The sequence below is a fragment of the Homo sapiens genome, chromosome 3, assembly GCF_000001405.40.
Source record: "Homo sapiens chromosome 3, GRCh38.p14 Primary Assembly".
Lineage (NCBI taxonomy): Eukaryota > Metazoa > Chordata > Mammalia > Primates > Hominidae > Homo > Homo sapiens.
Window position 1 is genome coordinate 149,466,005 of NC_000003.12, and position 17,071 is coordinate 149,483,075.

General features: G+C 42.1%; 1 protein-coding gene across 1 annotated transcript in view, besides 1 other annotated feature; it reads left to right on the forward strand.

The window, feature by feature from the left end:
- The first annotated feature begins 8,692 nt into the window (after window positions 1–8,692).
- TM4SF4 (transmembrane 4 L six family member 4) overlaps window positions 8,693–17,071 on the forward strand; it is a 28,698-nt gene continuing 20,319 nt past the window's right edge. Inside the window, exons 1-2 of the mRNA NM_004617.4 lie at window positions 8,693–9,047; window positions 9,819–9,908. Coding sequence (NP_004608.1) covers window positions 8,874–9,047; window positions 9,819–9,908 — 264 coding nt within the window. The 5' untranslated portion in view covers window positions 8,693–8,873. The remainder of the gene's footprint in view (window positions 9,048–9,818; window positions 9,909–17,071) is intronic.
- Window positions 14,398–14,692: an enhancer, noted in NCBI's record as "tiled region #13408; K562 Activating DNase matched - State 12:CtcfO". NCBI's record gives its function as "activates a minimal TATA promoter and a strong SV40 promoter by Sharpr-MPRA in K562 cells {active_cell/tissue: K562}" and the evidence as "EXISTENCE:reporter gene assay evidence [ECO:0000049][PMID:27701403]".

Below are 17,071 nucleotides of genomic sequence, written 5' to 3' on the forward strand. Positions count from 1 at the left end.
AAATTTAGGAAAGGCAAAGTGAGAACTGAGACTGTGTGAAGAGAATGAAGAGATAGGTAAGAGAGGATACTAAATCTTTAAGACAGAATAATGATAATTGGTGGTACAGTCTCAGGGAAGGTTTAGAGATGGGAACAAAAGCACCAGTGAGGGAATTAATCTGCTGACAGGGGAAAGATAATAAAAATGGATGAAGATAAGAATAAAATGTGGATGAAAGAGGAAAGTGTTCATATAAAAATATTATAAGGCTGAAAGGAAGATGGATGAAGGAACTTGGGCCTTCATTTCTGCAAGTGGGAGGAGAGGTTATAACTCTCAAAGGAGTTGGGGCGAGGGAGGAGGGAGGGTTTGAGGAATGTGGAAAAGGGTTGGAATAACAGTTGCGGAATGCAGTAGGGAGTGAGTAAGAGGGGAAGATGACTGTTGAGAAGCAGGCCCATCTAAAGAAAGGCAGCCCAAGCTTTTAACCGATTCATACTTTGACAACCACCACCATAAAGCATGCAGAAAACAGCAAGCTAGAGTGATGTGGGGTCTCTTCCGACCCTAGAGCCTTCTGAAATCCCTAAGCTGGCAAGTGACTGTCCCAAGAACAAAAGTTTGTTAGAGCAAGTAGCAACTACTTGAAACACCCCACAATGAGCTGCTCCAGTGGGAAGTCTAAGGAAGGGCATCCATTTGCCCCAAAGTAAGCAGAGTAATAAATGTGTCCAGCCTCAATGTATGGCCCTCCGACTGCCAGAATCACCTGAAGCTTGTTAGAAATTCAAAATCTAAGGCCCTGTCCCAGACTTTCTAAATCAGAATCTGTATTTTAACAAGATTGCAGATGATTTACATGCACATTAAAATTTGAGAAGCCTTGGTCTGTAACTTTGCTAGAAGCTTTGATATACATATGGGTAATCACAGAAAAGCTAATGTCAATTTAAAAATAAATTGGGCCTCTACATTGTGCCTCACACTGTGAAGACCACCAAAGACCTGGATGCATTTCTCTACCCTTTAGGTTTAATCACAGTAGTTATTGCAAGTAGGAATTATTTTTGCAATTGCAGTTCAGTCTTGAAAACCTATAAAAGGGAAAAGGTTTATCTAACTTTGACATTCTGTGAATTGGAACTGATTATTCAATTTTAAGCAAGGGAGTTTATCATTTGACCTTGCTTCTGGACTCTCCACCACTGTCAGTGGCAGGGTAGCTCAGGTGCACTTAGAGCAGTCACACATCCTACCAATTACTACACTGAGTTACTTCCTTTTAAAACTTAGTTTTAATGTTTTTACCGCCTTAGAATTTGGTCTTATCCATAATTTTTGCTCTCTTTGCTCAGTCCTTTGGCAACTAGAAATCCATAGTTAGAGTCAGTGAGAGCATCTTTGAGCAGTGGGACAACATGTCCCTTCCAACTCGTTGGCATTGCTCTTTTCTTTCATAAGACACGCACTCAGTCTAAAGAGTGTGGGCTTGGGTTCAAGTGCTGACTTGCTTTCTAGCTGTGTGGTTTTGAGCAAACTCTTTACCCCCTGAGCCTCAACTTCCTTCCATATAGCAAAGAGGGAGGTTACTGGGTTACTATCACCCATCTCAGAGGGACATTGTGAGTTAATATTGAAAAGCATTAAAGTTATACCTAGCATGTAACAAGCTTACAGTAAATATTACTACATAATGTAATTTTATCAAAATTCTATTCTTGGCAATGAATAGTTTCAAAGGAGCCTATTCAGGGGAGCCTTCCCTATCCTGACTGGAATCCCCCTGTTACCCTATATGCTTTCATAGCTCTCTCTAGTCCATGGAACAAATTATAGTTTGTTATTATATGTTTTTGAGACGGTTTGATTAATGAAAGGCAACATGCGTAGAGGTTAAGAGCACAGACTTTTTTTTTTTAAACTAGATTGCTTGAGATCAAATCCTGTCTCCTGCTACTAGTGATGAGATCTTGGGAAAGTTACTTAATCTCTCTGGGATACAGTTTCCTTATGAGTAAAATTCAGATTAAAATAGAACCAACTTCATACAATTGCTCTGTTTTCTGTTATTAGCATTATTAATATCTATCTTCCTTTTCTTATAAGCTCTGTCCATTTAACACGTCTCCAGTACCTGACACATCAGTGCTCAAAAAATGTGCTAAAAGAATAAATATACAAAAGCTAAAATTGACCCCCATGAAAGTTCACTGACATGAAATTTTAAGACAGTTGTTTTTGATGTTTTTTTTTTTTTCCAAATTGTGCTTGCTGTCTTGGTGTTGTTATCATTTCCCAATATGTTTGTAAATTTTTATAAGCAAAAATTATTTGGAAAAATAATTTTTAAAAACTAATGGGGAAACACTTGTACAAAGGCACAGACAAAAAGAATAATACATAATTATATAAAGTCAGATTTATAGAAATTAAAAACACATGCAGTGTTAAAATTTCTCTGCATTTTAAAGCCATAACATGAATTTTTAAACTTGGTTTCTTTTTGAACCCATGTTTAATTTTAAAAAGAAGATGAGGAACCGCAGTTAGTGATGTTTTACCTTACGGAGAGTGGGTGAGGGGTGAGTTCCTGTTGAAAGTTAACTTCTCACCTATAACCATGATGATATCAAAGAATGCTAAAACAAATCAATATTTGGGCAGGTCATCTGGGACAGATTTACCAGCCAGAGCTCATGCCTCTCTGAGAGGTCACAGCTGTGCCCTTTTGTACTGAGACCTGCATTAGAGAGGACTATATAGCACCCCTTTGAGTCATGAGGCAGGAAGAGATTTGCATTTCTCATTCTAATTTTGAAAACAACTGGAGATACTTTTAAGGTGTAGATGGTGCCTGCTAGCTCCTCAAGTGCAAATCCTAACTCAGGCTGTGTCTACCCATACACAATTGTGGGAATTATCCAGATAATTTACCCTGTAGCAGAGAAAGGCCCTTGATTTAAACCTAAATGCATGCAGGCTGTCCTCTCTGTGTTGAGCAAACAATAGGTACCAGTCTTTGGTTTCTGAAGCAGGATATTGTGGTGATTAAGAGGATGGTCTCTATAATCAGACTCCTTTGGTTTAAATCTACCTTTATCTCTGTGGTGAATTAAAGCTGGCCAGAAATTCTCTGACATTTCTTTCATAAAGAGGTGAGGTCTATGTTCCCTCCCCTTGAATTTGAGATCATTCTGACTACACTGACCAATAAAATTGGCCAAAGTGACCCTGTCCCATTTTCTGGCCCAGGCCTTAAGACAATGGCAGCTTCTACTTATATCTCAGAGCCTTATGTTACCATGTAAAAGTCTAACTACAGTGTTGCAGAAACCACATGGAGAGCCCTGAGACTAAAGGAAGAAAAAGAGGGGCCCAGCTTTATATGAGCCCAGTGTTATAGCTGTTCCCATCAAGCCACCTTGATATATAAGTGAAACCACCTTGGATTCTGCACACCAATGTGGCCACAACTGAACAACAGCAAATAACCGCAATCAATACTACTTGGAGCAGAATAATCACCCAGTTTGTCTCAACCCATCTTCCTGACCCACAAAATCCTGAGATAAAGTAAAATGATTATTGTTTTAAATACACAGTTTTGAGTTGGTTTATTATACATCAAAAGATAACCAGTGGCCTGATGTGGTGGCTTACACCTGTATCCCAACAATTTGAGAGGCAGAGGCAGGAGGATTGCTTGAGCCCAGGAGTTTGAGACCAGCCTGGCCAAAATGGTGAAACCCCGTCTCTACTAGAAATACAAAAATTAGCTGGGCATGGTGGCACATGCCTGTGTTCTCAGCTACTCGGGAGGCTGAGGCAGAAGAATTGCTTGAACCTGGGAAGCAGAGGCTGCAGTGAGCTGAGATTGTGCCACTGCACTCCAGCCTGGGCAACAGAGTGAGACTCTGTCTCAAAAAAAAGAAAATTAGCCTGGTATGGTGGCATGTGCCTGTGGTCCCTCAGGAGGATAAGGCAGGAGGATCGCTTGAGCTCAGGCAGTGAAGGCTTTGGTGAGCTGAGATTGTGCCACTGCACTCCAGTCTGGGTGACAGAGTGATACCCGGTTCCAAAAAAAAAAAAAGATAACCAGAACAGTGTTTACCACTTGTTTTTGTTTCCTCATCTCTAAAATAGGGACAATAATGTCATGTAATTGCTTGCTTCTATAGAGCTCGATGACAACTCTAGATAGTGAGATAGAGACATCTGAGAGGGAGGTCTGTTTCTTCTAGTTCTCCAGACCATGTGGCCCTTTAGTAGTTCAGCCTCTCCCAGGACCCCGGTGCTTTAGGGAACACTCATGTTGAAGTGGCCCAGGCATGGAGGAGTCAGTCATGAAGCGTCAGAGCTCTTAGAGAATAGTGACTGTCTTCCCTTAGACAAAATATTTCACATTTCTTTGTTCGTGGAGGCCAAGTTGGCTCTCAACCCTGCTCCCAGCTCACCAACTTGGCACCTCACAATCTCCCCAAATCGTGCTTCATCCCATCTTCCATCTTTGCTCTTGTTATACTTCCTTGTCTCAAATCACCCCTCACTTTCTCTCTGCCAACACAGATTCCATCACAAGCACTTGGGAAATGAGTAAGCTCCAAGTTTTCCAAAGGATGTTCTGGAAAATCCTGGTCCTGCCAGCTACAGGATACAAAAGATGGGTTCTGCAGGCATTGAAGCTTGGAAAACGCTGGGTACTATATTTCTCAGCTCTCCAATAATTACACATGCACTTGCAAATTAAAGGCCCTAAAAAGTTCTCATTCAGAGCCCTATTTTGCTCTGTGTTATTCAGATTTCCCAAACATATCTTGACAGTAAAACAGTTTTCTTATAAAACAAGACTTCTTAGAAAAAGTGACCACTGAGCTGAGTCCTGGAGGGGTGTAGCAGGAAAGCAGGAGAAGCGGGCAGAGCAGGAAGCAGGAAGACAGGAGGGCTGATCTGGCTGGAAGACAAATCAGGGAGGACTAAGTTTAAGATCTGAGGGCCATGGAAGCCTCCTGAAGGCTTTCAGCAAAAATGTAATATCAGTTTAGCATTTATAGAGATCACTAGTTCTCACTTTATAAAGATCACTAACTTTCACTACCTGATTTGATCTTTATTTTTTGATTGAAGACCTATAGTAAGCAAAACATGTTGCATTATTACCTAACATCTATGCACACATAACAAAAATTTCATAAAATGGCTCTTATTACATGCAATGCCCACTAATATTTTCTATTATTTTTTTCCTCCTTTGGAAAATCACTTTTAACAATCTATTTTCATCATCCAGGTAAGCAAAGATGAAGACCTGAATTTTATTTGAATGCAAATGTGTGGAGACCCCTGTCTTCTTCCTGATATTCTGTGTGAATAGATGAGAATGCTCTGCTTTAAGACAAGCAGAAGAAGCCATGTCTTGTTCTTCTGCTAAGGGGCAGTTACTCATTTAACCTCTGTGTATGGCTTCTCTTGTCTCTTGTCACAAGTAGAAGGTTGTAACATCATTGAGGGCAGAAAGCAAGTCTTAGATTTATTTTATTCACAAGGACAGTATTTGGCACATTGGTGGACATACCATGCATGTAACAATACACTTATCGATTGCACTGAATTGACAGCTCTTCACCCATTTCAGGGTGAATGTCTTCTGCTCCTGTGCTTGTTAGCTGAGGAATTGACTTCCTGCATCACTGGAAGGAACCCCTAGACTTCCTGCTGCTTAGTCCCGTATGGTCAAACCTCACATCCGGTGAGGTCCATGGAGATAGTGCCCATATTCACATTCTTCTCCTTTTCTTCCCCCAAGGATCCCTCCTGTCTTTCTATCCCTTCCAGGGCTACTATTTGCTCTCACTTCTGAAGTCTCCATAGAAGGCTAGTGACAGAATGGGGCTTAGTGTCCTCAGCCACTTCCTTCTTGCTGTTTCTGAAAACAAGGGAGTTAGCCTTTTTGGTTTAAAGCCTTCACTGCTAAACACCCAGAGGAACAGAATAAGCAATAAACTATCAAGTAGGAGTATCACAAAAATGATTCCCAGAATCTCACACAATTTTCCCTTGCCCCCAAAGCAGTCTGTTGGTGACCTCCCTGCTACACTTCCAGAGAGTGAATTTCACCAAGGTTCCCATCCCCCCCACGATTCCCTCTCTCCAGATTAGATATTCTACTTCTTGCCTGGAGGTCTGAAGGCACAATTAATAATTGAACAATTAATGAGTTAGTCACTATCCAAGTGTTTGAAGTCTGAAGTGGTCAGGGCATTCCAGGAAAGTGACTGTTTTTCAGTGTTTCTCTTCCTCTACCCAGGAAATAAGTTACCTCAGGCTTGAAAGAAAACTGAAGTGTGGTCCACAATATTTCTTACTTTCATCTAGTCACTCAGACAGTATACATGGGTAACTCCAGTTGTGCATCTGAAAAATCTAGGACAACAGGGCTAGTGTTGGTCAAATGCCATGATGGTAACTTCTAGAAGCAAACGGTGTAGTCCAGGGAGAAAGGAGAAAGCTGCCCAGTCCCCAGAGAGAAGCTGCCTAGCTCTAAGTAGCATATGCATTTGATTAACCCAATCCACTCACCCCCAGGACTGTTGCCTTTAGAGTTCATATGCTCAAGACTCCCTGTCAGAAGCCAGTGGGTTATAAATAAAGTTCATTTGCACCTGCCTGGAGTGTTGGAAAACAGCTGTCAGCACAGTGATGACAGCCCTTGTTTGCTTCTGGTGGAAACACAGCTGGTTTTCTTTTTCTTCCTTTTGCTTGTCTGTATATCCAATTTTTCTACCAAAAAAAGTCACATTATTTTGTAATAAGGAATAAAATCACAGTTTGTTGTTGTGTTCAGAAGGGTCTCCTACTGTGTGCATATACCTCACACACAGTGTCATTCTATTGTTTATATTTAAAAGATGATGTTTTGTTGTTTGTTTGTTTTCAAAAAGGAAAATCTATGAGAGAGAACATAGCCTGGGTTTTGGCAACACAGAGCTGGAGAGGAGGTAGGCTAATGGGTATGAACATACAGTTAGCCAAAGGGATAACCTCTGTTGTTTGACATTACAGTAAAGTGACCATGGTTAGTGATAATGTATTATAGATTGCAAAGTAGCTAGAAGAGAGGACTTAAATTGTTCCCAGCACATAGAAATGATCAATATTCAGTGATGGATACCCCCAAATACCCTGGCTTAATCACTACATATTCTACACATGTAAAATATCACACGTACCCCATAAATGTGTAAAATAGTATGTATAAATAAAAAATAAAATCTTAGCTCTTCTTCTTATGCTGAGATGAGCTTGCAAAAATCACTTTGAGCAGAAGCATCCCCACTTGTGAAGGGGGCATGACACCTTCTTCACAGAAGGGTGAAGAACATTTAAGGTGCTCATTCGTGCTTGGAGTATTATGCATGGCTCAATAAACATTTGCTGTTTTTCTGCTTTCTTTCTCATCCTGACCCTGAGATTTCTAAGTATCTTTATAAAGCAACCAGTACTCATTTCTTAGAAATTTTAGAAGGAGCCTCAACATTTTTCCAGTCTGACTTTTCTGGAATCCTTCCCACAGCTTCCCTTTCCAAGGGCCTCTGAGCCTTGGCAAAGCCCAGTCCATGGCTTCCTTGTGAGCAGGTGGCCTATTCCACGGTAGGACAGGTCTTACCATGGTAATAATGTCACTTGCTTTTTATTTAGCTAAAATTTGACTCCCTAAAATATTCGACCTATTTTAACCTCTAGATTCTCAATGAAGAACTAGTAAGACTTCCAGTTCCACCTCTTAATCCTTCAGCTGTTATGTAATACCAGTACCAGGCAGGGCCATCGCATAATGTAGAGCTTGGTCCAGGCGTGGCAGAGAACTTCTTAAGTGACACAAAGCAAATGAATGAATCATGCCCCTGGCAGTTGGCAAACTTTCTAATAGGGGTGTGTTTTACTGCCTCCTGCACTCTATAACTGCTCTTCCAACTGTGTCTTCTCCCCAGTCAACTCATCAGGACCTTTTCTCTCCCTCTCTACCAATGCTGACCTTCCTTTCCCCTTAGCCTTAGTGGATGATGGTTTCTTTATTCCTATATGGAAGACATAGCTGAGAAAGTTGATTAGGAAAACTGTTTTTGCTAATTCCATCACATCGTGTAGGGAAAAGATAGAACTTAATTACTTAATTGCGTAACAAGTAGAGAAACACAGCAATCAGACAATAAAATGAACAGTAGCTTTTTGCCTTAAACAATTCTTTTAAGTCTGAGCTCAATGATACACAACTAGACCATCAAATTATTTTGATATTGAGGAAAACAGAAGCTCTTTTGGATAACCCTGAATTCCAGGCTTTCAGTGGAAAAGACAAAGACACGCACTGTACACCATTAAGTACTTGGGAGACATGATTTTAACCAGGATGTAACTCAATTATATTAGTGATTTATAAAGAGTCTGGAGAAAATATTTCTTTATTTGGGCATGGGCACTGTCAGATTAAAGGTGCAGTGGTTCTAAATGCTGTTTGTTCCAGCCCTGTCTTCGATTGCAACAATGTGAGTGTCTTGTCTGTGCTGGTGGATTATTAACAGAGGTTATTGGTCTCCATGGCAAAACGATTGAATGATTGCTCTGAACGTAATCTCATTTATGGGGGTGCAAAAAACAAAGCACTTCAGGTCAGGGAGAATGTATAAATGTCCATTGCCATCGAGGTTCTGCTATTTTTGAGAAGCTGAAGCAACTCCAAGGACACAGTTCACAGAAATTTGGTTCTCAGCCCCAAAATACTGATTGAATTGGAGACAATTACAAGGACTCTCTGGCCAAAAACCCTTGAAGAGGCCCCGTGAAGGAGGCAGTGAGGAGCTTTTGATTGCTGACCTGTGTCGTACCACCCCAGAATGTGCACTGGGGGCTGTGCCAGATGCCTGGGGGGGACCCTCATTCCCCTTGCTTTTTTTGGCTTCCTGGCTAACATCCTGTTATTTTTTCCTGGAGGAAAAGTGATAGATGACAACGACCACCTTTCCCAAGAGATCTGGTTTTTCGGAGGAATATTAGGAAGCGGTGTCTTGGTGAGTAGGGAAGCTTAAAATCCCCCTAAGGGAGATTTTCCCTTCCCCACAATCCTTTTTAAATCAGGTACTTATTGAACAGGGAGATATTTAGTTGGTAATAGAAGCTCAAGCATTGCATGGTGAGAGGTCAATGCCTTAATTTTTTTCTCGTTTCTGTTAGGATCTGACAAGGACACGTCAGCTAAATTTACTAAGTAATTAATCTCTAAGCTTGGGCTGACAGTTCTCATGGGTCATTTGAGTCCCATGAACCGAAGTGAAGGTCGCATAGTTTCTTGATTCCAACAAGATAGTGCCCAAAACAATAACAACAACAAACCCACGATGCAAACCCACTAGAAAAGCAAATTGACTTAAAACCACCATGAGAAGCTGTTGTCAGTGTGGTCGTCTTCCACTTAGGACCTAATGATTTCTTTACCTCTGGTTTCCAATAGAATTGGGAACCTCCGTTTGAGAGAGTGAAAGGGAGAGAGACTCACTCTTCATGACAATTGAGGAAAAGTTTGTTATTCTTTTTTCTAACACACCATCTAAATGGAAACTCAGATTTTGAAATCTTGCCTCATTGAAGCTGGTTAGTCAGCCCAAATGGAATCTAAGTACTCCATAACACTCCATTACCCCTCCAGCCATGCTCTGTTACTTTGCCATTCCCTTTGGGCCTCCAAATCCCTCATTGTGGATGGGGCTCCTTATACAGTCAGGCAGGCTCGGGCCCTCCCTTCAACTCCTGGACTCTCTCTGAGGTGCCTCTTCTCCTGGTAGATGATCTTCCCTGCGCTGGTGTTCTTGGGCCTGAAGAACAATGACTGCTGTGGGTGCTGCGGCAACGAGGGCTGTGGGAAGCGATTTGCGGTGAGTTACCATGGGGGGCAGCTACTAGAATTACTCCAGGGTGCTCTGTGCTTTTGTGCTGGGCAGCATGGGGATGGAGACAAGTTATCAGCTCCAGCCAGGACTCTGGGAGCAGCTGGTGAAGGGATAAAACTGTGATTTTTCCTGCCAGTGTGAAATAATAATAATTTTCCAAAATACCATAGCCCTCATACTTATAGGGTATGAATATTGTATTAGATTTTACAAACCGACAGGGATGTCAGAACTGGAGATTCAGAGGGGTCCCATATACAGAATGCAAGCCTGGAAGGCAGAGATGAAGCTGCAGCATTCCTCTGCCACTGAGAGGCCATAAGAACTTGGACAAGTCATTTCCCTTTTCTGGCCCTGAATTGCCTCATCTGCAAAGGGGACTTGGGACAGGACAAAAGATGGTATCCTCCCCTCCCCAGTAGGCTTCTAGGTTCCTCACTCACACCACTTCCATGTTCTCTATTTCTGAGGCCCAGCGCCTCTGGCTTCCACCAGGCTCTGCTTCAGGACTTCTGTTTCCTCTCTTGTTTCATGCGGCCATCGATCTTGAACTAGAGACGTTAGGCATCAAAGTTCCAGAGTGCAGTGGAAAGAATGCTGGGACATGGGGACAGGACCCATTCTGCAATTGAGCAAGTCATTCTACTGCTCTGCCTCCCTTTGCTCATGTATAAAGCAGGAAGCTGGACTAGACCAGAATTTCTCAAGTATGGGACAAGCTCTGGTGCTACACAGATGTGCTATATCTTTCCACAACATAGAATGTCATTCCCATTCAATTCTCCTTCAATCCTTTTGAATCTATCAATCTATCAAGAAAAAGATCTTATTTTGGTAGACATAAGTCTTTCTTTTTTCTTTTCTGTTTTTTTTTGTTTTTGTTTTTGTTTTTTTTTTTTTTTTTGAGACAGGGTCTCACTCTGTTTGCCCAGGCTAGATCTTGGCTCACAGCAGGCTTGAACTTCTGGGCTCAAGTGATTCTCCCACCTCAGCCTTCCAAGTAGCTGGGAGTACAAGTGTGCCACCCCACGCAGCTGATTTTTTGTATTTTTAGTAGAGACAGAGTTTGGGCATGTTTCCTAGGCTGGTCTCAAACTCCCGGACTCAAGCAATCCGCCCACCTGAGCCTCCCAAAGTGCTGGGATTACAGGTGTGAGGCACTGTGCCCAGTCGTCTTTACTATTTTTTACCCTTTATAATCTCCCTTTCTAACAAAGAGAGGACAAGTCTTAGGCTCCAGGAATGAATGCAACGTTGTTTAACTAAAATGCAACTATATTGTGTTTCTATCTGCCAATGATTCTAATTTTTCATTCATATAGTGATATAAATGAACACAATGAGAGCTGACAAAAAATATTAAGAGTTAGATATATTGATGAGGCAGAAATGAAGCATAGTAGAACTGGAATTACTGGTCTGAAAAATGAGGAAGATCAGTTTCTCCTGTAATCTCCCATGGTTCACATGTCCACCTAAAAGATTCATGAACCACAATAATGAATTAACCACATTTACTTTAACTTCCTAAAGGGAAAGGTGCATCTATCCATTCTGAAACAGGATCCTTTTAACATTTCTTTCTTAGCATTATTTGTTCATTTATTCAATCAAAAAATATTGAGCACATGTGAAAGGCTGAGGCTGCTCCAATGTGCATACATTACAGTTTCCATGTGAGTTCAAAGGTCAAAGAAAATATAACATCATGAGTCCCAAAAAAGTATTGATGATTGTTATGTTAACATTTAAAATCATCATTTACAAAGAGTTCTTTTTAAAAAACCCACAATTTAATATAATCATGTAATATACGTTTTATATAACAAAGGATATTTTATGTAATTATAAAGGAAAAGAAGGTATTTATAACTTATTTTCCCCTTGAATTATAATCCCATTATATGTTGTGAACTTTTGGGGGATAGAAGTTGGAGATGAGGATTTTTTTTTTAATTAGCTATTAAGAAAATAGGATGAAAAGAAAGAAGAGTCATTTATTTTAGAAATCTAAAATTTCACACCTGGTGCTGAGTAAAAGGCTAAAGACTGGCTAATATAAAAATAAGGGATCTTTTGTTTGCTTGATTTTTGTTTTTAGGTTTACATATAACCACAGTGAGAAGTGAGATAGCATTCTAAGTATTACACAAAACTTGGTTTTTAAAATCAGATGTAAATGAAATCCAAGATGAAGGCAAAAAAAGTTTGTCTTTTTGTTGTTGTTGTTTGTTTGAGATGGAGTTTAGCTCTTGTTGCCCAGGCTGGAGCGCAATGGCGCGATCTCGGCTCACTGCAACCTCTGCCTCTTGGGTTCAAGCGATTCTCCTGCCTCAGCCTCCCAAGTAGCTGGGATTACAGCCATGTGCCACCATGCCCAGCTAATTTTGTATTTTTAGTAGAGATGCTGTTTCTCCATGTTAGCCAGGCTGGTCTGGAACTCCCAGCCTCAGGTGATCCACCCACCTCGTCATCCCAAAGTGCTGGCATTACAGTCATGAGCCACTACACCTGGCCGGAAAAAAAATGTTTTTATAAGCACATTTCATTAAAAAAAATTTTGAGTCAATAGGATCTGAAATATTTGGGCTTCCCAATATAGGTTGTCTGTGGGGGCTGTCTAAGCCTCCATGTGGAACCTGCCCTTGGCATGAATTGAGGATAACTCCTCCAAATGACCAACTGACCATCCAAATCATGAGGCAGTGTCCATCAAAGGACCAGCTGTGCCAGATTGTAAACCAAGGCACCTAGCACGGCTGCCCTGGGCCAGGGTCGACCACATGCTGGGTAGCCAGCAGAAGGATTTCTTGTCTTTGATTTTTTTGTTTTGTTCTATTTTGTTTTTTTGAGGCGAAGTCTCGCTCTTGTCCCCCAGCAGGCTGGAGTGAGATGATGCAATCTCAGCTCACTGCAACCTCCACCTCTTGGGTACAAGCAATTCTCCTGCCTTAGCCTCCCGAGTAGCTGGGATTACAAGTGCTTGCCACCATGCTCGGCTAATTTTTTTTGTATTTTTGTTAGAGACGGGGTTTCACCATGTTGGCCAGGCTGGTCTCGAACTCCTGACCTCAGGTGATCTGCCTGCCTTAACCTCCCAAAGTGCTGGGATTACAGGCGTGAGCCACTGCGCCTGGCCGATTGTTCTGTTTTTTAATCAGCTCCCAATTTTTAAAAATTCAGAGAGAGAACATTTTTTCCCCAAGAAATAAAAAATTAATCTGGCACCCCTAGCCTGCATTTTGGCACAACAGCACCCTTCACTGGGCCTGGCTGAGCTCCACAGGGCCCACCCTGGCTGCTCTACTCAGTTAGGGTCCCTTCCCTGCCCCTAAGACCATTGAGCTCATGCCCCCTGCTTCAGACTCTTGTTTGCTTAATGTTATGTTCTAAGGCTTTGGAGCATCAAACAATAATCATTTCTTTTTCTTTTCTTTTCTTTTTTTTTTTTTTGAGGTTATTGGGGGGTCTCACTATGTTGCCCAGGTTGGTCCCAAACTTCTGGAACTCCTGAACTCAAGCAATCCTCCCCACTCAGCCTCCTGAGTAGCTGGTGCTACAGGTGCTCACCACCTCACCTGGCTAATCATTTCTCCAAAATGAGGTATTTGCATTTTGTCAGACAAGAAGCAAAAACTGCAGACTAATTTGGGGAGAACTAAACTGCTGAAGTTCTGAATTATTTTCCAAAGGCTCACGCATTCCCCTCCAGGCCCCAGCTCCTTCGGGGACACGGGGCTTCTGTGGAGCACTGCAATAGGGAGCATTGCATAGGAAGCCCTGCAGGTGGAAAGGCCTGTGAGGCAGACACAGACTGGGCCACCAGCTGCTGGGCTGAATCCTCTGTCCTCTCTACAGTCTGCTTTCTGTCATTTATTTTCCCGGTTCCTCTCTCTCTTCTCTCATCTGCATTATATCTTTCTGGAACATTCCCCAGAGGCCAACTGCACCATTCTCTTCCCTTTCCTCGGGTAGCAAAACCAAGTAGGAGATAGGAGAAGCAGGATGTGGTGGCTGCAGAGATAAAGCAAGACAATAAGCTGGAAAGAATCTTGGATCACCTGATTCATAGTTTCTTGGTAAAGCCGAGAAAATGGCTCTCCTCTGAGGCAGAGCAAGACTGAAGCTGAGCTCCAAAGGCCTGCGCTCTTTCAAATAAATTAGGCTAAAGGAGAGCCGGGAAAAGTGAGCCCTGGAGCAAAAATAGTAAGAACCCCGGCCTGGGTTTGTTTTCAGGTCACAGCTTCTTCCTCCCAAACCCGAGATTCCCAGTGGCTTCTTGGCAGCATGTCGGTGGCTGGTCAGCATCTCTTGCCCTCTAATCCTTCTAAAAAATGGATCTCTTGGGGCGCAGTGGGGGAGCAAATTAATTTTGTCAACTCGTTTATGTTAAGTACGTATTTTATTAAGAGCCTTTTGTAAATCTTGGATTTGACTCAAAGGAGTGTCTTTAATAATGAGACCAAAGGTAGACTGATGAGGATATGTGTTGGGTAGGCATGTATTTCACCATCCTTAAAGCATATTAGATAGATCAAGGCCCGCCCCACCCACAGGCAGGGCCAGATGATCAACCTCCCTGTTTTGAAGAAAGGTCTTGGTCAGGTCCTAATGCGGTCTGTGTGTTGTGGTCAGCACTTCTTCCCGTGCCTGGCTCATCAGTGCCCCCTAGAGACACCTCCTGAGTGAGCGTTTCTGGGGACTCCCTCTTGCAGAGGTCCTGCAGGCCAAAAGCATCCCTAATCTACCTCCTCATTCCTTGGAATGACAGCCAACTTGAGGAATATTTTAGAAAGACATTTCCTTTAGAGAAATGGAATATATTGAAAGAAAAAAAAATAAAGTATGGAATTTTATTTCTTCTTTTTTCCAGATGTTTTCTCCCTAAGCTCCTATTTTTATTCTACTTCTACATATTTTATTTTATTTTTATTTATTTATATTTTGAGACAGAGTCTTGCACTGTTGCCCGGGCTGGTGTGCAAGAGGTTGGCGCGATCTCGGCTCGCTGCAACCTCCGCCTCCTGGATTCACGCGATTCTCCTGTCTCAGCCTCCCGGGTAGCTGGGATTACAGGCGCCGGCCACCACGCCCAGCTAATTTTTTGTATTTTTAGTAGAGACTGCATTTCACTATGTTGGCCAGGCTGGTCTCAAACTTCTGACCTCTTGATCTGCCTGCCTTAGCCTCCCAAAGTGCTGGGATTACAGTAGTGAGCCACCACGCCGGCATCTTCAGTAAATATTTTCTATGCTTCAAAATCCTCTGCTACAAAATGGATCCTGGCAGTTACTGTCTCTCATAAGGATGTTGTAAGTTCTAGGGGAAGATTTTGCAAGCATTTGGTGTAAGGGAAGTACCAACTAAGTGCCTAGGGTATGGAGGACACATAGATCCTCAATAAGTACTTGCTGGATGGATGAAGTAAGTGAACACCTAGGAGAGGAAACGGGCTTCCATATTTATCACACTCAATCCTCACAATAACCCTGTGAATTCAGCATTAAACTCCTCATTTTATAAATGAGGAAACTGGGGCTACTGCAAGTTAAGTTTCTGACTGCCACTTCCCCCACTCCCTTCCCAAGCCTAGCACAGGCAAAAAATAGAGGATATTAATTTTTAAGAAGAAAAAACACTTCAGGTAATCTCTATTCCTCCTTACTAAGGAGGAATGTCCATGCCCTAAGGACATGCTTTGGCCAACATAAGCACCTACATGACCCCAGGACACACCATGTGTGGAGACAGCTGGGATCTGATGGTACCTGTCTGTCTCCAGAGCCCAACAGAAAGGGAGATCTTCAAGCTGGCAATTGGTGAGTTAGAGGACATATGATCTCAGGCCTTCTTATCTACTCTTTCAAGGGAAACATTTGCAGTGTATGCTATATACATTTCTTTAACCATGTGAGCAGAATATGTGCACTGAGCAGCTGCGAGGGAATTAGCCCGTTGAATTTTTTCTCTCCAGAGTTATGCTCTCTGTATTTGTGGAAAGTAAGTGTGTGTGAGGATATGATAACAAAAATACTATAATATAATAATGACATTGATCAAGTGCTTGTTAATGTCATGGGAAATTATCCAAACCTTGGGAACAGGAAAAATAATTCTAGGTGTCCTATCAGTGAGGCACTGGGGATTACTAGCAGCCTATCCCACGTGGGGATGATCTGATTTTCGAGAGGTGTGTGCCTTTACTAATTAGGCTATCTTACATATTATCTGTAAGGCAGGTACTTATTAATGAGCCTTATTTTACAGAAGAAGAACTGGAATAAAAAAGATTAACTTCCCAAGATCATGAGGGAGGAACCAGAACTCAGATCCAGATCCATCTGCCTGTAATCCATACCTTTGACAACAACACAGTAGTGTCCTTCTTCACCATTTATTCACTTAGACCAGGTAGAGTATGCCCATAGCACAAAAACCGCAAAGGAAGACTCCCTTATCTGATTCCAAAGTCTGCCAACTTCCCTCCTCAGAGGTCCCCACTATTCTCAATTACTGTCTCCTTCCAGAGATATCCCAGGACTTTTGCCTATTTACTGTAAATAATACCAATTTTGAAGTGTCTACCCTCTAATGTACTCAACTTGGTCTCAAGAATCTTTCTTTTCTTTTTTTCTAGACAGGGTCTGGCTCTGTTGCCCAGGCTGAAGTGCAGTGGTGCAATCTCAGCTCACTGCAACCTCTGCCTCCTGGGCTCAAGCAATCCTCCCACCTCAGCCTCCTGAGTAGCTAGGACTACAAGCACACACCACCACCCCTCACTAATTTTTGTATTTCTTGTAGAGATGGAATTTCACCATTTTGGCCAGGCTGGTCTCGAACTCCTGGGCTCAAGCGGTCTGCCAGCTTTGGCCTCCCAAAGTGCTGGGATTACAGGCATGAGCCACCAAGCCCGGCCTTTCTTTCTTTTAACATTTTGTGTCATGAAACCCATGATAAATTGAAGTTATTCTATGCTGGCTTTTTGACTGATCATATCTCTAAGAATTTATTCTAGAGAATTTATCATTTTTAAGACTTCCCAATGTGAAATAACTTAAAGCAACATGACGCAGCATGTATCTTTCTTCCTGTGATTTATCCATAAAATGTGCCAAGACCCCCCTCCTTCATAGAATCTGTTTTTCTCT